This window comes from Homo sapiens, chromosome 2 (genome assembly GCF_000001405.40).
Source record: "Homo sapiens chromosome 2, GRCh38.p14 Primary Assembly".
Classification (NCBI taxonomy): Eukaryota; Metazoa; Chordata; class Mammalia; order Primates; family Hominidae; genus Homo; species Homo sapiens.
In genome coordinates, this window is record NC_000002.12 from 229448101 (window position 1) to 229475537 (window position 27437).

Sequence of the window (27437 nt, forward strand, 5' to 3'; positions counted from 1 at the left end):
TCTTGAATATATGCTTTTTAAAAAGTTGATTGTTGTAAGAGAAACAAAAGTGATCTACCCACACAATGAAATACCACTCAGCAATAAAAAAAAAAATAAGTACTGACACATCGTATGACATGAATGAATGTCAAAAGCATTATGCTAAGTAAAAGAAGCTAGGCACGAAATACTACATATTATATAATCCCATTTGTAAGAAATGTGCAGGAAAAGCAAATCTGTAGATACAGAAAGTAGATAAATGGTTGCCTATGGCTGGGCCGGAAAGAGGAGTTCACTGCAAATGGACATGAGGAGTCCACTGGGGTGGATGGAAATGTTTTAAACTTGGATTGTGGTGATAGCTGCACAACTCTGTAAATTTACTAATATGCTTTGAACTGTACTTTCAAATGAATGAATTTTATAATGTATAAATTGTACACTTAAATAAAATTTTATGTTATATAAAATTATGTAAGGCTGTTAACTTTTTCTTTTAAATATGGTTACTGTGTAGGTGATTTTTATCTTGTTTCCTGTGTATCTGATTCAGTATTTCTTGTTAAAAAATTATACATGTGCATATGTGTGGGTCTCTACATCTGTGCATACATGTAGGTATATATGTTTAACAATGCTTTCCATAAAACTATACTTCTTTCAATACTTTAAGAGCAGTTTGAAAATTAAATATTATTCAAATTTTAGAAATAAAAGTTAAATAATTTCACTCACATATAGTTTGTATTCTAATAGTCTATTACACGTCTCTTGTTTACATTTAAGTTTCTATTTACTCATCTTCTTATAGAACTCCTAGCAATACTGACAATTTTTGTTGTTGTTAAGGACACATTTAATATGTAAACAAACCAAAATAACTCCCAGATTTAATTATGTGAAGCACCACTCATAAATTGGCATAATCAACTTGGTATTTCTCTGTGCAGTATAGAAATATAAAATTATCCTCCAAAAAAATCCAATGCTATTCAGCATTTTATAAAATTCCTGGTAGCTTTTAAATCTTAGAAATCCTACTAAAAATGTACCATACAATCAGTTTTAATAACACTTGAATTCTCCAAAAAGTTTCTTGGCAGCCTCAAGTGGAATATAATTCTACCCATCATGAGATATGTTCCATTTTACTCTGATTGAAAAGAAGATACTTAAACATTTTTCAACATATGACAGTACTATATGTTACCGTCACTATTTAACATGATTTCAAAAATAGGATTTAATATCTCAAATCTTTTAATTTTAGACAATAAAATAATTTTTATCTGTCTAGAAAATGCAGCATAGCTGCTTAAAATATTAAAAGGCCCATTTGATTTCCTCGAGCATGACACTAAAAGTCATTCAATATTTTTTTCTTAATATGAAGGAATAATTTTGAGAAATGAATTGACCAAGCCACCCTACAGCTTGCATTTAGTTAGATAGTGACCCAAGATTGCATCTTATGACTTGAGAGGAAAAAAAAATGGTGGGGGTGGGCGGTGGCCAGTGGGGAGCAGTGCAGGTTCTAGGTTAACCTTGTGGATGCACTGATTTCTTTACAAGAAATTCAGGCTCATGATAAATTCCATACCCAAGGCTGGGTACCAGTTTGCCCAAATCAGCAGCTCAAGGTGAATCAGAAAATCATAAATGTTAATGCTCAGAAATAGAAATCAATTTATTTTATTTTATTTTGTTTTGTTTTTTGAGACAGAGTCTCACTCTGTTGCCCAGGCTGGAGTGCAATGGCACAATCTTGGCTCACTGCAACCTCTGCCTTCGGGTCAAGCGATTCTCCTGCCTCAGCCTCCTGAGTAGCTGTGATTACAGGAGGACACCACCACGCCTGGCTAATTTTTGTATTTTTAGTTGAGACGGGGCTTTACCATGTTGGTCAGGCTGGTCTCGAACTCCTGACCTCGTGATCAACCTGCCTCGGCCTCCCAAAGTGCTGGGATTATAGGCGTGAGCCACCGTGCCTGGGCACAGAAATCAAATTTAAGAGGACATTTTGATTATTTTTGTTCCTCCAGAAGAACTGAACTAATGATGACAGAAGGTGACAGTTGAGAACTGTCAACTCTGTCAACTCTTTTAGTTGAGAACACAGAGAAGAGAAGTGATCATAGGAACTGTATCCTTGAAAACTCTATGAGATTAGGTGGGTGAGAACTTGATGGAAAGAATATCTAGGGAGGGTCAAAGATAAGAAAAATCAGGAACAAGAAGCTTATACCTACGTTAGGAGCATAAAAATGAAAATTACTTAGAACTACTAGAACCCAGTAGAAGAGTTAATATTAAATATAGTTCTCAGTGGAGGTTGATAGTTAAGCATTGGATTAGCAATGTCATGGGTTAAATTGCGTCCCTCCAAAATTCATATTTTTTAAAATTAGCTTTCTCTGGTTGAGTAAAATTCATATTTTGAAGCCCTAACTCTCAATACCTCAGAATGTGGCTTTTCAGGGATAGTGCCTTTAAAGAGGTGAGTCAGTTAAACTGAAGTTGTTAGGTTGAGCCCTAATGCAATCTGACTGGTGTCTTTATAAGCAGAGATCAGGACACAGAAAAAGACACCAGAGATGCCTGTGCACAAAGGAAAAGACCTTGTGAGGAGGAAGCAAGAGGGTGGCCCTCTGCAGGCCAAGGAGAGAGGCCTCAGAAAAAATCAACCCTGCCAGCACTTTGATCCTGAGCTTCCAGCCTCCAGAACTAGAAGTAGATGAACTGCTTATCAGCCTCCAAAGCTAGAAAAAGATGTCTGTTGTTTAAACCTGTAGTCCTTGGTCACAGCAGCCTGAGAAGACTCATACAAATAGGGAGCATAAGGAGACAGGGAAGCGATAATTAGGATCTTGTGTTTGATTCTGTGTTCACCACCCCAGCAGTCTGAGTGACCATGGCAAGGCCCCCTTTCTCCCATCGTCCACTGCCTCTACCTGGAAAACAGGGCTGAAACTGTTTTCTTTACAAAGTCACTGTGGGTTCTGAAAAAAATACATATCAAACTTCCTAGTACGGTTCCCAGTCCAAGGCTGGAAGAATGAATGAATTAAAAATGCTAATAATAACAGCAACAGGCCAGGCGTGATGGCTCATGCCTATAATCCTAGCACTTTGGGAGACTGAGGCAGGCGGATCACGAGGTCAGGAGTCCAAGACCAGCCTGGCCAACGTGGTGAAATCCCGTCTCTACTAAAAATACAAAAATTAGCCGGGTGTGGTGGTGCCTGCCTGTAATCCCAGCTACTGGGGAGGCTGAGGCAGGAGAATCGCTTGAACCCAGGAGGCGGAGGATGCAGTGAGCCGAGATAGTGCCACTGCACTACAGGCTGGGTGACAGAGCAAGACTCTGTCTCGAAAAATAAATAAACAAATAAATAAATAACAGCAACAGCTAACATCCACTGGAGGCTGATTTGCATCACCTGGTTCTAACCCTTTAGGTGAACTATTTCATTTAATCCTACTATTATAGTAGGATGTAAGAACTATAATAGCCCTATCTTACAAATGTGAAAACAGTGACATGAGAATGTGAAGTAACCTTTTCAAGTCTAAATAGCTAGTATATGGCAGAGCTGGGACACCAAGGCCAAGTGCTTACACGTCTCCTACACTGCACAGAAGAGAAGTGAATGACCAACCAATTAAGATGTTATGATGTGTAAGCAAAACCAGGACTTATGTTTCTATCCTGTTTGTGTCTTGGTGAAAGAATAGAGGATTTACTGATCAGGTCAAAATAAAGGAAAAAGTGAATTTTAGAAAGGCAATCACTCTAGCTTTATGTCAATATACTCAGTTATAAATAGTAATATAAGCCACACAGAATAGTCCAAGTAGAAATAAAAATGGGTAACAAGGAGACATAAAGGGTCATGGCTTTGGAGAGAGCCAATATTTCAATAAGAAGAGAAGTGCAGAAAATGAATAATAATGAGAGCACTGGTCAGGCCAGGTCACGACTGGTCTTATATGTTACACTTGGGAGCTTACATTTCATTCTGAGGCTACTGGATATCATCTATTTTCATTATTTATATCTCTAATTATAGGCAATGTGGAGAGGGAATCAGAAGAGGTTGAGACCGGAAGCATGAAACCAGTTGTTTACTCGAATAATTGAGGTTGTGAAGGCCAATTTGTAGCAATAAACATAAAGAATGTGAAATATATTAGAGCATGATTTTATAAGTAAAATTATCAATTCAGGGACCACTTGGACTGTAGAAGAATGGAAGAGACGACAGAGCCCAGAGACACAATGTAACATAAGTCAAAAATGCAAATGCCAGCAGGACTCCGGTAGATAATGTTGATACAGAGGGTGGATCAGGTGTAATACAATAGGGACTGGCAGGGTCTGTGGCAAACGGGAGAAAGCATGCCCCTTCCAAAAAAGACGGCCGCCATAACCTGCAGCCAATTTGAAACATGGGGCCAGGTACCATATCTTCTGAGTGTTCAAGAAAAGTCCGAAATCCAAATTCCTGTTTGAGCCTTGTCTATTTTATTATTATTTTATTTATTTATTTATTTATTTTTTGAGATGGAGTCTTGCTCCGTAGCCCAGGCTGAAGTGCAGTGGCATGATCTCGGCTCACTGCAACCTCCGCCTCCTGGATTCAAGCATTCTCTTGCCTCAGCCTCCCAAGTAACTGGGACTACAGGCACTTGCCACCACGCCCAGCTAATTTTTGTATTTTTAGTAGAGACGGGGTTTCACCATGTTGGCCAGGCTGGTCTTGAACTCCTGACCTCAAGTGATCCACTCGCCTCAGCCTCCCAAAGTGCTGGGATTACAGGCGTGAGCCACCACACCCAGCCAAGGCTTGTCATTTTAAACTGTTGATAAATAATTTCTCCAGCAAATAAAGCATATGTATGGGCCCTGTATATGTGTCTTCTCTGTGTGAGTTAATGTTAAAGAGCTTTGAACCAAGGGGAATTGGATTTAAACACCATCTCAGCCCACTAAACTGTGGGACTTTGGGCTAGTACTTAATCACTCTGACTTTCTGCTTTTGTATCCATGAAAGAAAGATATTAATGCTTACAATTTTCATTTCTTATGAAGCTTAACTGCAAAAATCTATGCAAAGCACTTGGCACAGTGACTCTCCAATTGTTAAGTGTTAATAAGAAGCAGCAATAATTATAATGTAATTTCCAGGTTTTCAGATGGGGGGACAATGTGGATAGTGTTGTTATCAAATGCAGTGGAAAATACAGGAGGAGGCTGCTAGGGGAGGGTTATGAGTTCAGCTTTGTGCAAAGTGAGTTGAGATGCTTTTGCAGTTGTTCAATAGTCATTAAATATGCAGAACTTGTGCTCAGGAGAGAGGTATGAACTAGACTGTTGACTGGGAGCCATATGCACATGGATGGGAATTGGATTCATCATAGGTATACATGACACCACTTGGGGCAAATGAACAGAGAGACAAGAAAGCTCAAGGCTGGAACTCTGAACAACTGTAGCTCTTGTGAGCACAAGAAAGAAGAGGAAACCAAGAGCATGTCTCATTGAGAGACCTCTCCTCTTGTTCTGCAGCTCTCTGTAGATCTCACTCTCTCCTAGCACCTACCCCACCCTTTCTGCCTCCTCCATAAGTGGTCTCTGATTTTCTTGAGATCAGGGAATGTAACTTACATGTCTTTGTATCCCTGTTGCTCAGCATGAAGCTTGGAAGATGGTAGGCATTTGACCAGGGACAGATAAATGGACAGACAGGCAGACAGACGGATGGATGAATAGACAGCTAGCTAAGTTTCAAGAAAGAAAGAAGTTGCAGGGTTTGGTCAGGAATAAAATATATTAAAAAAAAAAAAAAAAAAAAAAGAAAGAAGAGAAACCAGGAGAGAAAGGTGTCACTGAAAACAATGGAAGAGAGAATGTGAAAAAATGGCACTGAACCTTGCTTGTAAATCACATGCACAAGCCCACGCCAGCCTGCTGCAAGATGAGAGACGGCATGGAGCAAAGGAAGCTAGCACAGCCAAGGCCATTCTAGACCACTTGACCTCCATCAGTGTGGCCAGTGACCAGCTAAGCTTGCCCAAATTGCTATTGCAATGTACAAGGACTATGAGCTAAATGAGTGGCTGCCATTTTAACCACTACATTTTGGGGGTGGTTTGTCATGCAGCCAAAGTTAACTGATAAAATTAATAGGAGCTACAGGATTGTATCTATGTGGGAATACAGGCCAGAGGGAGATTTTTGTTTTGCTTTGCTTTATGGAACAGACTTGAAAGAGTAATTGATCATACACTACAGGAAAATTTCACTAAAGAGATGATCAATAAATGTTTGTTGAATTGAATATCAAAAAGTCCCACTGCTGTTGAATCAAGGATCCTGTGTTTTTTTATTATTATTAAAATTTTGCTTTTTCTTATCAATTCAGGAAAATATAATGCAGGATGAGAATGGAACTAATACTTAATATTTTCAGAGTCTGCTAGCATACCTCAGTATACATACTGAGGAGAGAATACACTTTTGGCATATTATCCAGTCTAAAAAAGAAAGTGGAAAATTTCACTAAAGAGATATCAATAAATGCTTGTAGAATTGAATATCAAAAAGGCCCACTGCTATTAAATCAAGGATCTGTGTTTTATTATTCTTAAAATTTTGCTTTTTCTTACCAATTCAAGAAAATATAATGCAGGATGAGAATGGAACTAATACTTAATATTTTCAGAGTCTGCTAGCATATCTCAGTATATACTGAGGAGAGAATACACTTTTGGTATATTATACAGTCTAAAAAAAGAAAGTGGGATATAAAATGCTCTTCTGTTACAAAGAATGACAAAGCAAAAAGAAAATGAATGCAAGGTATATCTGAATACACTTTGAAGAGATGAATGTGAGGTACAGCAATTATGAGATAATTTTCCTGGCTCACATGATTATTAATGACCACTAGAAAAGGAATGCCAGACTTAAAGGCTGAGTCACTTTTGAGATGCTATTGCTTTAACGAGTAAATTCTCCATTTCCTTCTATCAGCTAAGCTATTATCTTCTTGTTCATATGACATCCTTTTACAAATGACTCACATCTCCTTCAGCCACCCTCTAAGTGACCTTCCTAAGAGAAGCAAGAACAGGTTTTATAATTCAAAGAATGCAGAGCCAGAAAACCAAAGTTTGAATCTTCTTACTACCGTGTGACCTCAGGCTTAATCATTTTTTCTCTAATTTTCTTACCTACAAAATGGTGTTGGCTCCTACCATGAAGTCAAGTAAGGTGACACATGTGGTCAATAAATGTCGGATTCTTTTCCCTTTAAACGGTGGTTCTGGGGTAATCTCAAGTTGCCCGTATAATCAGAGTTTGTGGTTAGAGAAAGGAAGCTGGCCTGTCAGTCAGTCTGTGGAATACCATCCATTTTCACATTTGTATGAATCCCACAGGGTCATGACCCTGGATGTCTATAAACGGAGATTTCTGGAATTGGGAGGTGCTCACATACTGCTCTCTAAACACACGAACAGTTACTGGGCCATGCAGTGATGCTGGTGAACAGAGGTGGGGTCCCAGGGCAGACAGCCGTGGCAAGAGGTGGGAGGTAGGAGTGTCCCTGAGAACATCTCTGTACAGGCTCGAAAGGACAATCTGCTGAAGTTGTGTTTGTTAATAGCAAACACTTGTATGTACCAGGCACTGTTCCAAGGGTTTTAAATATACTAAGTCATTTAACTCTCACATCAATCCTATGAGATAAGAACTATCATTTCCCCATTTTCAGATGAGAAAATAGGGATAGAAAGATCAAGTAACTTGCCCAAAGTTACACAGCTAGTAAACGGCAGGTTTGAGATTTGAACCCAGGCAGTCAGATTCAGGTCCAAGCTCCTAACCAGCACTCTGTGCTGTGGCACCCAACACCTGGGGTATAGCAGTATATTAGTCCATTTTTGCATTACTACAAAGGGATACCTGAGACTGGGTAATTTATAAAGAAAAGAGGTTTAATTGGCTGACGGTTCTGCAGGCTGTACAGGAATCATGGTGCCAGCATATGCTTCTAGTGAGGGCCGCATGGAGTTTACAATCATGGCAGAAGGTGAAAGGGAAAGCTGGCGTATCACAGGGTGAGAGCAAGAGCAAGAGAGAAATGCAGGAGGTGCCACACACTTGTAAACAACCAGCTGTCACGTGAACTCAGAGTGAGAACCAAGGGGATGGCACTGAGTCACTCATGATGGATCCCCGTGATCCAAACACCTCCCACCAGGCCCCACCTCCAACACTGGGAATTACGTTTCCACATCAGATTTGAAGGGGACAAACATCTAAACCACACCAAGCAGAAAGGCCAAGAATGAGAGGGCAGGTGCTCCAGGGTCTGTCAGGCCTCTGTCCCTTCCTGACCATGTGTATCAGAAACTACTTTTTGTCCTAACATCCATCTCTCCACTTCCCATGGTCTTACACTTCTGGTCACATGGCAACATAGAACAATGTCTACAGGGACCAGCCTCTTCTGCAGCTACATGTACATCTGTGATGACCTTCTGAATAACAGACACAAGTGAAAATGTCCTGAAGTCACCTCTATAGAAAATTCCTTGAAAGAAGTTGGCAAGCACCCTTTGCTCTTTCACTATTTTCCCCCTTCATCCATCCTACCATCTAGACCACACAGATGATGACCGAGTTTTTCCTAAGTTTGGTGAAAAACATCTACCCATACACAATATGCTCAGTGAACCCCAGGGAGAATAAATCAAATATACAGGAATGTCACAGACAAGCTGCTGAAAACCAAAAATTGAGAGAAAACATTAAAAGAAGCCAAAAAGAAAAAAAAAGACATGATACACACATCAAGCAATAGTAAGATTGACAGATGACTTGTCACCAAGATCTACAGAAGCATAAGATAACAAAATGACATCTTTAAGGCACTGGAAAAATAAACTCGTCAAACAGAATTCTAGTTTCAGGGAAAATAACTTCTAGTAATCAAGGTTAATTAAGATATTTTCTGATAAAGAACAGCTGAGAAAGTTTGTTGCCAGCAGATCTAGCCACACTACAAAAATACTAAAGAAAGTTATTTAAGCTGAATAGAAACAATAATAGGTGGAAACTCAAGTCTACAGGAAGAAATTAAGGGCCCTAGAAATGGCAGTCTGGGGGAGTAAATATTCATTTTTTTCTTAATTTCTTTTAAAAATGGTTAAAAGCAAAAAGAACATTGAATTATGATGTTGTAACGTACATAGAAGGAATATACATAACAAGAGAACAAATAATAAGGGAAGTTAATAGAATTTTACTACCGTTAGGTTCTTACATTTTGCATGAAGTGATTAAATATTGATTCTAAGTAGACTCTCATAAATTAAGGGTGTACACTGTAATTCCCAGAGCAGCCACTAAAACTAAAACAGACGCAACAAAAACCCCAAACCAAAAAACCCAGCAGTATAGCTAAGAAGCCAGTTAAGAAAATAGTATCTTTTTAAATATTCTATTTACCCACCCACCCCCACCACCAAAGAGGGCAGGAATAGAATAAAACAAAGAACATATGAGAAAAATAGAAAATAAATAGCAATGAGGTAGACTTAGATCCAATCATATCAAGGTTATATTGAATATAAGTAGACTAACACCCCAATTAAAAGGCGTAGATTGTCAGACTTTATTTGGAAAAAAAAAAAAAGATCTAACTATGTGCTCTCTAAAAGAAACCCACTCCAGCATAAAGACACATAAAAATGGAAAGTAAGGACAGGTGCGGTGGCTTACACCTGTAATCCCAGCACTTCAGGAGGCCAAGGTGGGCAGATCACGAGGTGAGGAGTTCGAGACCAGCCTGGCCAATGTGGTGAAACCCTGTCTCTACTAAAAATACAAAAATTAGTCAGGTGTGGTGGTGTGCACCTGTAATCCCAGCTACTGGGGCGGCTAAGGCAGGAGAATCGCTTAAACCCAGGAGGCAGAGGTTGCAGTGAGCTGAGATCACACCACTGCACTCCAGCCTGGGTCACAGAGCAAGACTCTATCTCAAAAAAAAAAAAAAAAAAAAAAAAAAGGAAAGTAAAAGAATAGGGAAAGATACATTGTGAAAAAGAAAGCATAAGAAAACTAGTATTCTCTGTTAAAATCAGAAAAGGTAGACTTCAAGACTAAGAACATTATCTGACATAAAAAGGGACACTTAATATGAAAAAGTGAGTAATCCAACAGGAAGCTTTAACAATCCCAAATATGTAGGCGCCTAATAAGAGAGCTTCAAAATACATGAAAGAAAAACTGCTAGCAAGAGAAACAGAAATTATCAGAGAAGAAGCCCTTTCTTAGTAACTGACAGAATCAATTGACAAAATGAGCTAGTTTATACAATAGTTAAATAACATATTCTTTTCATGTGCACATGAAATAAGTCATTTTAATAGATACAGAAAAATTATTTGGCAAAATTCAATATGCATTCATCATTTTTAAGAAGAAAGAAAAACTCTCAGCAAACTAAAATAGAAGGTAACACTTGCTGTATCTTTTAGGGTATATACAAAAAAAAAACTATGGCTAATATCATACTCAATGATGAAATAATAAATATTTTCTCCCTAAGATAGAGAGCAAAGCAAGGATGTCTACCCTCAGCATTTACATTCAATATTTTACTGGAGGTTCTATATATGCAAAAAAAAAGTAAAAGAAATAAAAAACATAAAGTGTAGAAAGGAAAATAAGACTTATTATTCAACAATCTACGATTTTATACAAAGAAAATCCAAAGAAATCTAAAATAAAAATTTGGGGAACTAATAGGTAAATTTAGCAAACTGTCAGCATACAAAGTCAATATACAAAAATCAATAGTGTTTCTATACACTAGTAATAAGCAACTGGAAATTAAAAAATGTTTTACTGGCATTTATAATATTATCAAAAAGCATAAAATAGGATTAAATTTAACAAAAGATATGCAAGATGTCTACACTGAAAACTATAAAACATTACTTGAAGAAATTAAAAATACCCAAATAAATGAAGACATATACCACGTTGATGGGTTGGAAGTCTCACTATTGTTAATATTTAAGTTCTATTCAAATTGATTTACTGCAGTACTAATTATTTGGGGATGCCTATTGTTTATAACTAAATCAAATTCTAATTGATAAATTATGTCAGCGCAATCAAGTAAGTAGCTCTTATATGTTTTATACATCTCTTATATGTCTGTTATCTTATTTGTTAAAAATGGAAATAATAGAATAGCTGTATGCATCCAGTAGTTATAGTTGTACTAGTAGAAATAGAAGAAGAAAGAAGAGAAATTGTTGTGTTAAAAGTAATAGAAAAATTTTATTGAGTTCTTACTACATACGGGACATTATGCCGAGCAATTGGTATCTATTCTTTCTTACTTATCACAACCACTGGCTCAGGTAGGTTCTACCACCATCTACTTTTTACAGACGAAGGTTCAGAGACTTCGCTTTAGGGAACTAACCTAGAAACACTCATCTAGTAACTGGGAAAAATAACATTCAATCAGGTTTGTCTGACTCCAAATCTGTGCTCTTAAGCCCCAATCTATTTGCTGCTTCTCACAAGAGAGTTCGTGTGAAAGCATTTGACAAGTCGAAAACGCCGTGCTAGCATATGAAATTATGTTCAGATCAGCTGGGCATGGTGGTGTGTGCCTGTAATCCCGGCTACTCAGGAGGCTGAGGCAGGAGTTCAAGACCAGCCTGGGCAACATAGTAAAACTCCATCTCAAAACAAAAAAAAGAGGCCGGGCACGGTGGCTCACGCCTGTAATCCCAGCACTTTGGGAGGCCGAAGCGGGTGGATCACAAGGTCAAAAGATCGAGACCATCCTGTCTAACATGGTGAAACCCCGTCTCTACTAAACATACAAAAAATTAGCTGGGCGTGGTGGGGGGTGCCTGTAGTCCCAACTACTCGGGAGACTGAGGCAGGAGAATGGCGTGAACCTGGGAGGCGGAGCTTGCAGTGAGCAGAGATCGCGCCACTACACTCCAGCCTGGGTGACAGAGTGAGACTCCGTCTCAAAAAAAAAAAAAAAAAAAAAAAAAATTATGAAATTTGAGTCCTAAGGAATAAACATGTGCTACCAACTCCTTATAAAATCAGAACTCTTAAAATAATTCAGATATCAAATTAAGAGCCAAGATGTTTATGTAAGAAACTTTAAGAGAAAATCATAAATGTTTTGGTGTTACAAGCTAATGTGTAATGTTGAGAGCTTTTTAAAAACTATTACAAGCCAATGTGTAATGTTGAGAGCTTTTTAAAAACTACCAGCATACAAAGTCAATATACAAAAATTATATATGAAATATATAAATTATTATTTCTTTTTAGAGCTGATTGGTTTTAAATACAAACCTAAAGCCATATTTTCAGGAGAACTTTTTTTCATAAGGATGCACAAGGCAACCAGTTCTTACACTGGTAATTTATAAAATCTAACACAATAAGAAACATCTGATGACATTATAAATTTTCAGAACAAAAATTATAGCCATCAAATTTGAATATTAGTTTTTAATATTCAAGATGCAGGCATAGCCTACTAATCTGCTGATGGAGACCAGACGTTGGTTGATTGGTGGCTCTTAGCTACAATGCATGTTACAGGTTTGTTGATGGATATATTTTGAAATTTTGAGTCAAAACTAGCTTGTCAACCTGATAGTGATCACAAGAAGGTCAAATGTTACAAACATAGTTTCAAAATTTAACGGAGACCACATGTGAAACAATGTATATTCAGAAGAAGCACCTGTGTAAGTGATCCCAAACTCAGATACAGTACTATGTGAGTCCGATTCCCCCTTGTAGAAATATAGAAGTCTGCAAGTCAAAGCTAAAGCAAAGATGAGTAAACGCATCCCTGTGTTGGAGTTACAGAGTGTAGGGCAGTAGGATGAGTGCTAGTAAAAAGACATTTTACAACACAAGGTGGAAAAGGCTTTGGGTCATCTGTGGCTGAGACGGTCAGAACAGATTTCATCTTCCCCAAAAAATTCTAAAAATAAACCAATATTCTCATTCACTCTATTTTCTCCTTTCCCTCCTTCTCTCTCAATATAAATATACAGACATACATTATATATAAAGAGTTTTCAATTCAATCTCCAGACCTAGGGACCTCTCTGCATTGTCCTGTTCCTACATAATGTTATAACTCTAAAAGAAATTATTTGAGCTAGCCTTTGGTAAAGTTTCTCTTTTTATTAGCACGGCTCTTTAAGAGCTCTGACCGGTCAACCTAGTAATAATGATCTCTCAAGGTAAGTGTTTTTTTTAAAATTCCCCTTATAGAATATGCAAATTAAATTAGTTATGGTGGCAAAGGGTAGAGAATTGGAAAAGGAAATTTAACATTCCTGGGTTCAAGCACATTCATGGACACATTTAACCTCCAAAATATGAAAAACGATAGATAGGAGAACAAATACAATACTGCTACGTAGAATGATGTCATATAAATAATAAAAATAATAGTAGTATTTATGAAATGACTAAAGGATTAATAAGCTATAACAGAGGAATAATATACAGTCCTAACTGGAAGCTAATAAGCAAATATATTTGGATTTACAATCTTCCTTGAAGAGTAGAAAATGAAAAACTATTTGGTGATGGTAGCCAAAAAGTGCAAGCAGAAAGATGAACATAGTGATATCTCTGGTGTGCAATAGTGTAATTCAAATGATACAGACCTAAGATGATGGACATAAGGAAATCTTGGAAAGAAAACACAACAGCTCCAGAGAAAAGGTCTATTTCAAACACATGGAAACAATGGCAGCAGCCAAGAGATTTCAAACAACTGATTTTAAAACAAGGGAAAAGTTTAGAAAAGGATGAAAGATTAAAGAATTACAATGGAAAATAAACAAAATAGAATTACAAAAGAAACCTACTGAAGAGGAATGCAAATAAAGTAATTTAGCTAGTTGACTTTCCTTCAAATTTTGTGTTTGAACCAATATTAAAGTGAACATTACTGCTGAATTATTTATTATGTAAGTAGAAAGAAATCAATACCCTTGAGATACACCCATTATGGAATCAGATATTTAAGACCAAAAGAAAACATTTCTGGAAGATTTTAAATTGCAAGACAATGAAGTCACTCTATGTATTGTCAGAAAGCAATAGAGGTGTCAGAAATTTTTGCAATACTAAAGGAAAATACAGAATAAAGTGACACTGGCATTTTTTGCTGACAGGGTAAAGACAATTCACATCAAAGAAATGATGTGTATAGGCATTTTAAACTCAACTCAGCATTCCATTGCCTTGGCAAATGGCTCCAGTCAGAAACCTAGGAGTCATACCTGATTGTTTTTCTTCTCTGAACCCCCATATCCATCCAATTAGTGGATCTTATAGACACTATCTCCAAAATACATCATGAACCCAAACACTTTCTTGCAACTTGGCTGCTACCATCCTAGCCAAAGATACAACTATTAATATTTCGCTCCCATTATAACAGTTTTCTCTTATGAGATTCCCTGTCCATCTTACCCCTACAACCAATTCTCCAAACAGCAATAATCATTTTCTTAAAATGTTAATATTATCATGACTTCCAGTAATTCCTAGAATAAAATTTGACCTCCTTTCCATAGGCTACAAGTCCTGTGGGCTCTAAGCGCAGCTCACCAGTCTTACGCCACATGCTTCAGAAGCTGGCCCCACTGGCCTCCATTCAGTTTCCAGAAATAACAAGCCATTCCTCACCTTGATCCTTGCCACATGCCATTTCCACTGTCCAGAAGCTGCTGCTCCTACCTGCTTACAGAGTTGACTCCTCCTTATGTCTTAATTTTTGACATAAGTGTTAGACAAGCAGGTCTCTCCTGATCGCCTCATCCTAGGTACATATCCCTTTCTTATTCTGTATCACAGTACCCTGCTCACCCCTTTCATAGCACTTTTATTTGCAATGAAATAGGTGTGTATTGGTTTCCCTGTTTATCACCTGTTTCCCACCCAGAATAAGACCACAGGCTTCCTGGAGGAGGAACCAGGTTCTTTCCTCTCACCATTGTGCCTTGGCATCCAGCACAGTGTCTGAGCTATGGGAAGTGTGCAGTAAATGTTTGTGGAATAAATGAGTGGATTAAATGAATGGTGTAATAGAGAACATATTCCAACAGATTTGCAACACAATATAGTTAGGAAAAGCAAATTGACAAATATGGATGGGGTTTTAGAAATTACAATGAGGGAATATGAAAGGAGAAATATTAGTCATTAGATGTTTTTATTACAGATATATAAATGAATAATCACTAGATCAAAATGAAAGTAGAAAATATATTTATTTATTTTGTGATGGGGTCTCGCTTTGTCTCCCAGGCTGGAGTATAGTGGCATAATCATGGCTCTCAGCAGCCTTGAACTCCTGGGTTCAAGTGATCTTACTGCCTCAGCCTCCCGAGTAGCTGAGATTACAAGCACTTCCACCACATCCAATTAAATTTCAATTTTTTTATGGAAATGTGATCTCCCTATGTTGCCCAGGCTTGTCTTGAACTCCTGCCCTCAAGGGATCCTCGTGCTTTAGCCTCCCAGAGTGCTGAGATCACAGGCATTGAGCCGCTGTGCCCAGCTGAAGGTAAAATGGTTTATGAAGTATTCTGCTGCGTAGCACGGGAAAGCAAGGAGAAGGAAGAATCCTGACTCTCAGAGAGCTCATTCTTGTACAGAGGAGACCAGAAGGACATATTTGAGATAATGAGAGAACACGTTGAGGCCATTTTTCCTTCCTGCAAACATTGATGGAATGATTCCAGCCTGGCAGGAAGGGTTGAAAGACCAGCCCAGCCTGTCAAAATGGAATCAGTGTGCGTGGCACCAGCTCTAACTGTGGCAGAAATTCAGAAGGAAGAACCCTATGATGTGTGCAGGTCAGAAAAATCTCATGGGACAGTTGGCTTTTCCAACTGGGCCTGAAAGAAAGCACAGGAGTTGACTTGGCAGAAGAGGACAAGGAGTGATGTTCAAATCAGAGAAGGGGTTTTGGCCAGTGTGTATGGAAAACTTAATTGGGACCACATTTGTTCTGGTTCTAAGAAAGCAGACAGTTATGCAAGATAAAGAGAAAGGGGAATATCTGGGAAAATCAATTACAAAATCATCAGCTGTAAAAGACCCAATAGGATTGCATTTTAAATGTGACTTTGAATTTTTAAGAAAATCCATTTGAGAGAGTAAAAAATATCTTAAGGACTTTTTCTTGAGCAGAACAGAAAGTCAAAGTTAGATTTAAGACAGGAAAATGAAAAACAGCTAGGAAATCATCAGAAGAATGTTAAATCAACTCTCCCTTAATTTGGAATACATAGAAGGGCATAAGAGATAAAACTTATTTAAAGGATATAGTTATGTGAACAAAAATAATTGGCTATTGACAATGGAGATTTAAAGGTTTGGTCAGAAGGTCTGCATTTCCCTCTGGGTCTTCATTTATCTAACCTAGACTAATTGGGAGCAGCCATGCATCAGGCACTGCTTCAAGACTTTCCATTCTAGTGAGGAAAACATACTATAAAAAAACAAGTAAATAGGTATCCTCAGTCAGGGCTACAGGTTATTGAAGCAGGGTGCGGTGGGTAGAGAATGGTGGGGGCTGTGTAAGATAGTGGAGTCAGGAAGACCTAAGTGACACAAGGGGGAGAGAGAGCCATGTGAGGGCCCCTATGAAGAAGGGTACAGGGTCAGGTGCAAACGCTCCCTGTAGCATTGGATGTAAGGTGAATGAATGGCTTCCGCCTGGAGGACAATTTCTAAGCCTTTGGCATGTTTGAACAACAACAAGAAGTCAGAATCTGGAGAAAAGGAAAGGAAGAGAGGAATAAGAAATGAGGTTGGAAATTGTGGAAGACAGTGTGGTGATTCCTCAAAGACCTAGAACCAGAAGTACGATTTGACCCAGCAATCCTATTACTGGGTGTATACCCAAGGGAATAGAAATCATTCTATTATAAAGATGCATGCATGTGTATGTTCATTGCAGCACTATTCACAATAGCAAAGACATGGAATCCACTCAAATGCCCGTCAATGATAGACTAGACAAAGAAAATGTGGTACATATACACCATGGAATACTATGCAGCCATAAAAAGGAACAAGATCATGTCTTTTGCAGGGACATGAATGGAGCTTGAAGCCATTGTCTTCAGCAAACTAATGCAGGAACAGAAGACCAAGCACCACATATTCTCACTTATAAGTGGGAGCTGAGCAATGAGAACACGTGATCACAGGGAAGGAAACAGCACACAATGGGACCAGGGGGCTGAGGGAGGGAAAGCATCAGGATAAACAGCTAATGCATACAGGGCTTAATACCTAGGTGATGGGTTGATAGGTGCAGCAAATCACCATGGCACACATTTACCTATGTAACAAACCCACACATCCTACACATGTATCCTGGAACTTAAAATAACATTTAAAAAAAAATAAAAAACAAACAGAATCTCAGCCCCCATCCCATACCTGCTGAATCAGAATATGCATTTAAACAAGATCACTTAGTGATTTGTATGTATCTTAAAATTCAAAAAGCAAAAAATAAAAGAAGAAATTAGGTTGGAGAGGTAGCCAGGGATATGTTGGCCCCAGACAACACCTTGGATGAGAAATCAGCAGAGATTCGAAAGGCAGGGAAGGAAAACATGTCATCTGCATTTTAGAGGGATCACTTTTCTCATCCTCCCCCTCAAAAATGCTCAGCTCCCAATAGCACCCCCGTATATCAAGTCGTGTAAAACTTGTCGAAAACTGGTGTGTCCTCTCCCTGGCCTTCTCCTTGTCCTCTTATAGCCAAATCTGTCCACTTCTCTCTATCTCCATTGTCACCTCTGCAATGCATTCAGCATTAAAGCTCATCTAAAGCAGTGTAACAGGCTCCTAACAGGTTTCTCTAATTCTTGTCCTCCCTGGATCCATTCTTCCCCCCTAAACACAGTAATTTCTTCCAAGTGCTAAAATTCTTCTCCTCTCCTGCTAAACCCATTCATGGTGCCCTTGTCCACACTCTTGGGCCATGTGCAATCCACTTAGCCCACTGCTTAAAGGTCTACCTGAGCCGACTCCTACTTCTCTCTCTAGCCTTCTGTCTTCCCTCCATCACATTCTGCAGTACGGCTCTGCTGAACTGCATTTTGTTCCTCAGATTTCTGTGTCTCCCTCTCCCTCCCTAACCTCGCCCTGCTTTTCTCTCTTCCTGAAAGAGTCTTTCCTCTGCCTGCAGCCCTACTCATTCTTTAGGTTACTACTTAGTCTTCAAGTATGTTTGAACATCACTTCCCTTGGAACACTTCCTGACTCTCCCTCCAGCCCTCAGTGTAGGTGAGTGGTCCCTCTTCAGACTCTACCACCTGATTACCCCAGAGGAGCCCTGTCACACCCCTGATCATACTGTCCATGCTGTCTCTCGGGGCCACTATTCCATAAGACCCATGAGGCCGAAGCCACATATGTCTCGCTCACTGCTGAATCCCTTGTGATCAACACAATAACCACTGCAAGGTAGGTAATCAAGAAATAGTATGTGAATTAAGTGTTTTATTAAATAAATAATGCCATATTCATATGATAGAAGCAATCATTAATAATTCTTTAGAATAATACTTAAAAATATAGAACATGTAGAGCACACTGTTCAGTTAAAGACACTCATTACAAAAGCGAATACACAGTCAGATCCGATTTTGGTTTTCTAAAAAGGGCATTAATAAAGTGACCTCAAAGATGTTCACCTAAAATGTAAAATGATTTTTCTCCTGGGGTTGGAATTCGAGGCATTGTTTTTCCTTTGAGCACATTTGAGCATAAATTTCTTTGGTCATCAGGGAAAAAAAATCACGAAAATGATTTAAAGTGCGGTGTCAAGTCTTGGACTGTCACGGAAAAGAGGACCCTGGTCAAATGCAATGATGGTGGCCAGTAGTGAACAGAAAGTCCCTTGTGAGTGTCCTGGGTCGCAGCGGCCAAGGGCATTGCTAAGGGTAGGCTATTTGGGAGTAGAAAGTGAGGAAGGGACTCTAAACATGACAACTTCTTCATAGAAATTATAATTAAATGTAATTAGGCCAATTTTAAAGAAGAGCAGTGGGAAAATGTCTTTAAAAATGGGCTAAATGAACTGAGGAGAGGCGTCAGTATCTATCTTCAGCTGCCTTTTATCATTATGGTATCAGGTCACAGGAGATGAAATTAGATTAGAAAAACAGAGTCAAAGAAGGGTTTATTTAACCAAAAATAATATATGATGAAGCAATTAACAAAACATTCTTCTACTTTCCCAGTCTTCTGTCTGTTCAACGTTGTCTTGGGCCTGGGTCTCTCTGTATGTCCCCTGCCTTAAGGTGGTCAGAGTCAGAGCCTCGACCTGAATAGTTCAGAAGAAGGGCCAGGACTGTATCACATGATATTTTGGTCCAAGTGAAAAACAAAAATTTCACTTTAGCTTCCCCCATTGTTGTGGTCTAAAGAGGGGTATGTGTGAGGAGATAATTCTGCTACAAGAAAAAATGAAAATTATATTTACTACTAGGGTATTTATATTTCTATCGTAAAGGATCTTTGTTGCATTCAAGAACCATGATATAATATGAATGTTTTGCGTTTAGCATGGAGAAGTTAGCTTTTAATAAACAGATCCTCCCACAAAACAGCTGTTAAATCTGACAAGAAAAAAAATAAAAATAAAAAGCGAAAAACTTCTTCAAGGCTCTGAAAAGTGAACCAAAGCAGGCAGGTTTTGGAAGGGAGTCAAAATACAGAGGCAGCAGCCAGCATGAGATCAGTTTCGCATTTGGGGGGTTCACATGGCCGGCTGCCACAGCCGTGACAGTGGCACAGGGGGATAAGACGACAGCACTGAACCTTCCGTTTCAGTCCAGAGGTACCCAGGAAGGGAAACCGCCTTTGCAGAATGATAACTGAGGAAATTATGACAGTGAAAGAAATCAGACCTAACCAACTCCACCTTGCTTCTAACCTTTAAGCTGTCCTTCTTCATTCCTGGGCATGGGCCAAGCTATAGGAAGGAATTCAGTTCATGGTTTGACTCTGAAATAAAATTGCTAATAGCCCTTTCCCAAAAGGACCCCTTTCTTGCCTAGGGAACCAGTCTGCCTTTGCAGGATTAACAAATTAGCTACAAGATTAGACATTACAGTTTGGGGGGTCATGCAGCCTCTGGCTCCAAGAGTCTGAACCTCCCCAAGTTGTTCTTGGGGATAACATCACTATTGTAAAACCTAACATCAGTGCTTGAGATATTCTGCAGCCCCTACACTCGATGGATCAGCTGACACCATCCAGACAGGTAATCTGGCTCAACCAGTTCTGCCATCCCACCCAGGAACAGAAGACAGCAAGAAAAACTCACTTTGACCCCCTATGATTCCATCTCCAACCTGGTCAGTCAGCACTCCCCACTTCCCAAGCCCCTACCCGCCAAATTATCTTTAAAAACTCTGATCCCCGAAATATCAGAGATACTGAATTGAGTAATAATAAAACTCCTGTCTCCTGCACAGCCAGCTCTGCGTGAATTACTCTTTCTCGATTGCAATTCCCCTGTCTTGATAAATCAGCTCTGTCTAGGCAGTGGGCAGGGTGAACCCATTAGGTAGTTACAGAAGGAGCCTGGAGAAGGCATACCACGAGGAGTGAGGGAGGGTTCTGGGCAGGAAGACAGCCAAAGAAGGGGCCTCCAATTCTGAATATGAACTCTCCCGGAGTCTCTGGATGACCCCTACACCACCCCTAAACTGGGCACTGGAAGTAACCAGATGAGATGAGAGCTCCTGCACCCCGCAGGCATCATGAGTTTGCAGTGAGTCTAGCCAGTGAGATTTGCACATTTACTTCAGTGAACATTGGTTAATGCATCTTTGTGATATGGGGAGTTTCCTCATACATAAAATGTTATTGTCAGGACAGTTTTGAGATATTTACTCGTTCATTCATTCAACAAATGTCTCGTATGTTTCTACATGCCAGATGCTTTAAGGGATACAGAAATGTTTAGCATCCCTGTCCTCAACGAGCCCAGAGCCCCATGAGGGACAGCGGGTGTACATCCAAATAGCTACCACTTGAAGTAAAACTGGATCAGGGAGGAATTGGTGCAGCAGAAAGAACATGAACTTCAGGATCAAACAAACCTGTTTAGAGCCTCAGGAATTATCTGACAAATGGCATAATAATACCTGTCTTGTACAGCTGTTGTGCAGATTAAGTGGTGAAATTTATTAATTACTTATTCTCTGCGAGGTACTGGTCTAAGCACTGCATATTCACAGCTCCGTTAATTCTTATAACGACCCCTTTAGGTAGCCACTAATACTACCCTCGCTCGATAGATGGGGAAAATGAGGCATCGAGAATTTAAGTAAATTGTTCAAGGTCGCCAGGGAGTAAGTAATCAAACAGGTTCAAACTCAGCAAAGTCTACTTGAGCCTCAGCTGTTAACTGCTAAGTTATGCTGAATAATAATGTCAAAGTGCTGGCCGGGCATGGTGGCTCACGCCTGTAATCCCAACACTTTGGCAGGCCAAGGCAGGCGGATCACCTGAGGTCAGGAGTTCGAGACCAGCTTGGCCAACATGGCGAAATCCCGTCTCAACTAAAAATACAAAAAATAGCTGGGCATGGTGGTGGGTGCCTGTAATCCCACCTACTCAGGAAGCTGAGGCAGGAGAGTCGCTTGAACCCCGGGAGGCAGAGGTTGCAGTGAGCCAAGATCGCGCCATTGCACTCCAGTCTGGGTGGACAGACTGAGACTCCAACTCAAGTAATAATAATAATAATGTCAAAGTGCCAAGCACAGTGCTTAACACATAGGAGGCACTCAACAAATGGCAGACAGCATCAGTACTGTTATAGGTACTGCCGATGCTGTTGTTATTACTTTGAAGCATAAGAAAGAAAACCATCGTTGAAGTTCAAGACCTATGCCTGAAGTTTTAAAACTAAAATGTTGTAAGAATGCTAAATAATTGTCACGTGCAGATCTTGACACACACCTTTAGAAATCAAAATTTATGTTTATCCCTTAGGTATATCCCATCTCTTTTTTAGAAGAAAACCATCAAGGTATCATTTAAGTATTCATTCATTCATTCATCAAACTGTAACTTCTGACTGCCCTCTGTCAGCACTAAAGTGGGCATCGGAACCATTTTCAAAGGGGAAAGAAAGCTAATGTGGGAAGAGGGTCCTGGTCATTCACTGAAAGTTAGTGCAGCCATTTTCCCCAGTGCTAATGAAAAAAAGCAGGCAACTAAAATTCCTTGCTGCATTTTTATTTAAACAACCTCAGAGAAACTGCTATGCAAAAAATAATAATAATAATAATAATTCAGTTGTAAAGCAAAATTAATGAATTGTGTGCCAAACATAAAAATAAAATTTTGGAAGGGCGCAGTGGCTCACGCCTGTAATCCCCGTACTTTGGGAGGCTGAGGTGGGCGGATCACCTGAGGTCAGGAGTTTGAGACCAGCCTGGCCAACATGGTGAAACCCCGTCTCTACTAAAAATACAAAAATTAGCCGGGTGTGGTGATGGTCGCCTGTAATGCCAGCTATTCGGGAGGCTGAAGCAGGAGAATCACTTGAATCTGGGAAGCGGAGGTTACAGTGAGCCAAGATCGTGCCATTGGACTCCAGCCTGGGCAACAAGAGCAAAATGCTGTTTCAAACACAAAATAAAATAAGATAAAATTTTACTCACACTTAATAAATCTTAATACCCTGCTTTGATTCTAAAAGGTGAAACTATATACTACTCCAAGGATCTCAGCTGCTGTGATTCCTAAATGAAGTGGTGATTTAGGGATAATGCCAAATTTTGAAAGAACAAGAACAGCATTTTATTCAGGACTGTTAATTTTATGAGGGTATGTGGCATGTTTCTTATGTAAATACATGGAGTTTCATATGGTTCTAATAGAGTGCTTTCACCAAGATCATACATGTTAGGGTGCTGGAAAAAAAAAACAACTAAATCCCAAAACTATATCACCCTTAAATCCTGACTGGGTAACATACCCAGTTTTTAAACAATACACATTATCTGAGAGATAACTTTTATGACATGTGTTGCTATTGCCTGCAAATCCCTTTAAGATGAAAAGCATTACCACTGAAATTTGAGTTCGACAAAAGGATTTATATAGCTAGGTTACCCAAGGCTATAAAATGAAAAAAAAAAATAGTTTTGTAAATGCTTGGAGCTTGTTGCAGTGGAATTTAACCTACAGGACCTTTGGGCCAACATAAAGATTTAAACCCCAGGCATTCCCTAGAGTTACTTAGAGGTTATGAAGGTTTTCTCTATAAACATGACTTGAAACATGATGGATTTATTGACTCAGCAAGTAGCTTTTAAACTGATATATTTGAATTAAAGACTTTTAAGCATAGGGTCCCTTAAAGGTAGTAGTCAACCTTCATCCTTTTTACCGAAGAAAACTAAGGGTGGAAGAGATAAAATTATGTGACTTAACCGAGGTTAGATGACTAATTAATAACAATCATCATAATAGCTAACATTAACTCAGCACCTACTATTTGCAAAGCACAGTGCTAAGGGCTTTCTCCAACCTTCACACTAACTTTAAACATGTAAACGAGTGTTACTCTACTTTATAAATTAAAAAATGAGCCTCAAAGAAGCCAAGACCTTGTCAAAAGAGGTAGGTCCGGATTTCAAACCTAAGCAGTGTGACCCCAAACCACATGCATAAACCACTCCACTCTACAGCCTCGTCACGGGGCCTAGACTCAAATCTACTGACCTCCAGGCCAGAGAACGACACCAAATCTCCATCCTTGGCTATGAGAGTTTCCAGATTGTAAGATCTTTGATGTCTGACAGCAAAATCCAACATTGCATTCTAATAGTTATAGGACTGGAAGATGTGAGTCCTCTCCCTGGTTGTAATACTTGACTTCATAATTACAGTGCAAGAGTGGTTCATACAAAATCTATGTATTCCATAATCTTATCCCATAGGAATAGTGTGAGAAAATACCTTTAATGCTTTTAAAATGCATTGGATAAAATGATATGTTTTCAAAATAGTGCATAAAGCCCCATATTCTCTCTTTGGTCTCTGATTGCCATATGTCTTCCGTAATAGGTAATTGCCAGGAAGGTGGTTCCGTTTGACCAGCTGTGCTCTCCAGAAGGGGATGGTCATGCTGCAGAGCCAATGGATGTCCTTTATTGCTGGAGGCTTTCATCACTACTGATTTCTTTTTATTCTTTATTAATTTATGGGTATTCTACTTCAAATTCCCAGTGGAAGGGAGATGGAATTAAGATACTGATAATGGCTAGAGAGTAGTATTCAGACTGTATTTATACATGTATCTAAATACATTCATATATTTAAATATACATATTTAAATACCAATATGCAGTAATCCTAAGCATATATAGACATCTTCAGAATTAAAATGCATTTAGTTTAAAACTTAAGGATTTCAAAGTTCTAAACCAAATACGAAGACAATAAATTATTAAGCAATAATGCCAGGTTCTAAGTGCTTATCTTTGTCTTTGCTGTTATCATTCAATTAGGTGGATATTAGAAAACATTCATGATATTTCACTTTTATTTCTTATCATCCCCACCGTAACCAGAATCTGAAGCTACACTTTCCCAATATGAACCTAGTAAAAGCTAAGTCGAAATTCAGGAGAAATACAGAACCTGTTGATGAAGGATAAAAATCTCAGTGTAGAAGGGCAGACGTGTCCTGAAGGAGCGCAGCTATGAAGGTGACTGCAGCTGGCTCTCGGGCTGCCCGATTTGGAACTTTGTGAAGGAGCAGGAGTCACAGAGACAGTACCCAGAACAGATGTTCAATCTCTACGGGCCTACCCAGGTCAGATGGAAAAAGGTCCTTGAAGGAAACAAAATGGAGATGAAAAGGGGGGAAAAGAGAAAGGATGCGGATGTGTGCTGTCGAGAACTCTATCTAGAGGGAAAACCCCATTTTAACAGCTTTCCAGCCTGGGAGGAATTGGTATAAAAGGATTTGACTTGCTTACCAAAAATAATAACTTCTCACTTTTTCCAGATTTAAGAAAGTAAACAGCAGAGACATTTAGAAGTTTTCTTTGCATGCATTTTACTTATGATTATGGTTACAAAGATAATCTTTAAAAATATAATGTGATTTCTTTTAAAGAATATATTCAGAGATGGTATAGGACAGTAGTTGGGAGCACTAGAGCCCATTTCTGGGTTTAGTCTCCATTTCTGGCTATGTGACCTCAGGCAAGTTATTGATCCTCTTGTGCCTCAGTTTTCTAATCTGTTAAATGGAAATATTAACAGTGTGTGCTTCCTAGCATACAATACTAATTTGATTCTCATTGTTGTGAGAGTCAAATTAGTTAGTAGACATAGTGAGTGATAGCTAAGTGTTGACTTCTATTATTAAATTATTTACCAAATATTAATCCCTCCTGCTAACATAAAACGCAACCCGTAGGAAAGGTGTTGGAATTAGGTGTGGGAAACAAGATGAATAAAATACATTCCCTTTCCTCAAAGAATAACACAGAGAAGCAGGGCAGACAGAATCAACAAAAACCTACAATGGAGAAATGGAAAAGGAGGCAGGCAAGGGTCAGGGCTGGCTCTGAACCCCAGGACATTCTGTGAATTTGAGGCTCTGCTCAGACTTGCTCTCAGCATGTCTGATGTGAGAAACATCCTGGAGACACAGGCTCTTTTTATTTTTTATTTTCTTTTTGAGACAGGATCTTGCTCTGTTACCCAGGCTGGAGTACAGTGGCACAATCTCGGTTCACTGCAACTTCCGCCTCCTGGGTTGAAGCAATTCTTGTGCCTTAGCCTCCCAAGTAGCTGGGATTACAGGTGTGTGCCACCACACCCGGCTAAATTTTATATTTTTAGTAGAGACAGGGTTTTGCCATGTTGGTCAGGCTGGTCTTGTACTCCTGGCCTGCAGTGATCCGCCCACCTTGGCCTCCCAGAGTGCTGGGATTACAGGCATAAGCCACCACACCTGGTGACACAGGCTCTTTTTAAAGTGCAAAGTGTTCTATAAATATGAGTTACTGCCGACACACAAAAGCAAGCACTGTAAGGATAGGCCAGTGGGAGAGGCAGCTTAAAAAATGCCAGTCACCAGGTATGAGCTCCTGCTAAGAGGCTGCCACACATTCCAGCAAATTCTTCTAAACTCTAATGAAAGCCTGCTTTTCCCTGCTCAGGCTTCATTGAAGATAAACCTTCGAATAAAAGTCTTTGTAGTGGAAAATTCATCTTCATCTTGTCAATTCCAGAGCCTCGCATTTTCTCTAGGCTTTATCTAGGCAGCATGGAGGGGCTGGTGTGCCACCGGATAAAGGAGAAGGGTTCCTAGATCAGCATCCAGGATTTAAATTACTACCTAAAGGCCAATGTCTCTGTGTTTAGATGAGACCAGGCTTCTTCCAGACTCATAGAGCCACAGCCTAGCTGACATCTCCACTTGACTATCACAAGGGTCTCTCACAAGGGTTCCAACATAGAACACTTCATTTTTCTGTTTCTCCATGAACAGCACAACCCACTGCAAAGCCCCAGACTCGCTGCCTCACCCTCCCTCACCTCCCACCACCTTGCTCCTTCTCAGGCCTCCTCCATTTTCTTTCCAAAGTTCTTCCAAATCCGTCTGCCTCTCTCTTTTTCAAATTCCACCCTTCCATTCCTAGCAGCCAACATCTATTTCTTGGACTTCTACAACAGTCCCCAAACTTTTCTCCTTATTCCCACTCTTGTCTCTCTCTATGTTCAACATTGTTCCAGAATGAAAAGTTCAAAGTTCCCTGCTTATCAATGGTTTAATAGTAATCATTATCATGAAAACAATAGTGATGAAATAGCTACTATGAATTCAGCACTTAGCCAGGCACTGTGCTAGGCACTTTATCTGTCTCAACTCATTTAATCCTTACACTGATCCCAGGACATAGACACAATCATCACCCCATTTTACAGATTAAAAACACCAAGATGCAGGGAGGTATAAAATCACATGCCCATGGGACAAAGCTGGTGATAGTGGAACTGGCCTTCAAACCTCCCCCTCCGACTCCCTCCCCTCTAGGATGAAGATGAAAGGCCTTGCGGGGCTCACCCAGCCCTGCAAGCCTTGCCCTGCCTGCTTCCACCTGCTGTCACCATGATTCTTCTCATCCTCTTAGCTCAGTCATGCCCGCAACTGCGCCATCTCCTCCCTCTCCTCTCCTAGGGTCTTTGTACATGGGAGTCTCTCCCAGCTCTCCAAGCCCAGGCAGATCCCTTCTGTGCATCTTCAAAGCACCTATTCCTGCATGTAATTACATACTTATCTGTGTGT

General features: G+C 39.5%; 1 protein-coding gene across 1 annotated transcript in view; it reads right to left on the reverse strand.

The window, feature by feature from the left end:
* Positions 1 to 27437, reverse strand: part of DNER (delta/notch like EGF repeat containing) — a 356927-nt gene that overhangs the window by 90472 nt on the left and 239018 nt on the right. The gene's annotated exons all lie outside the window — the stretch shown is intronic.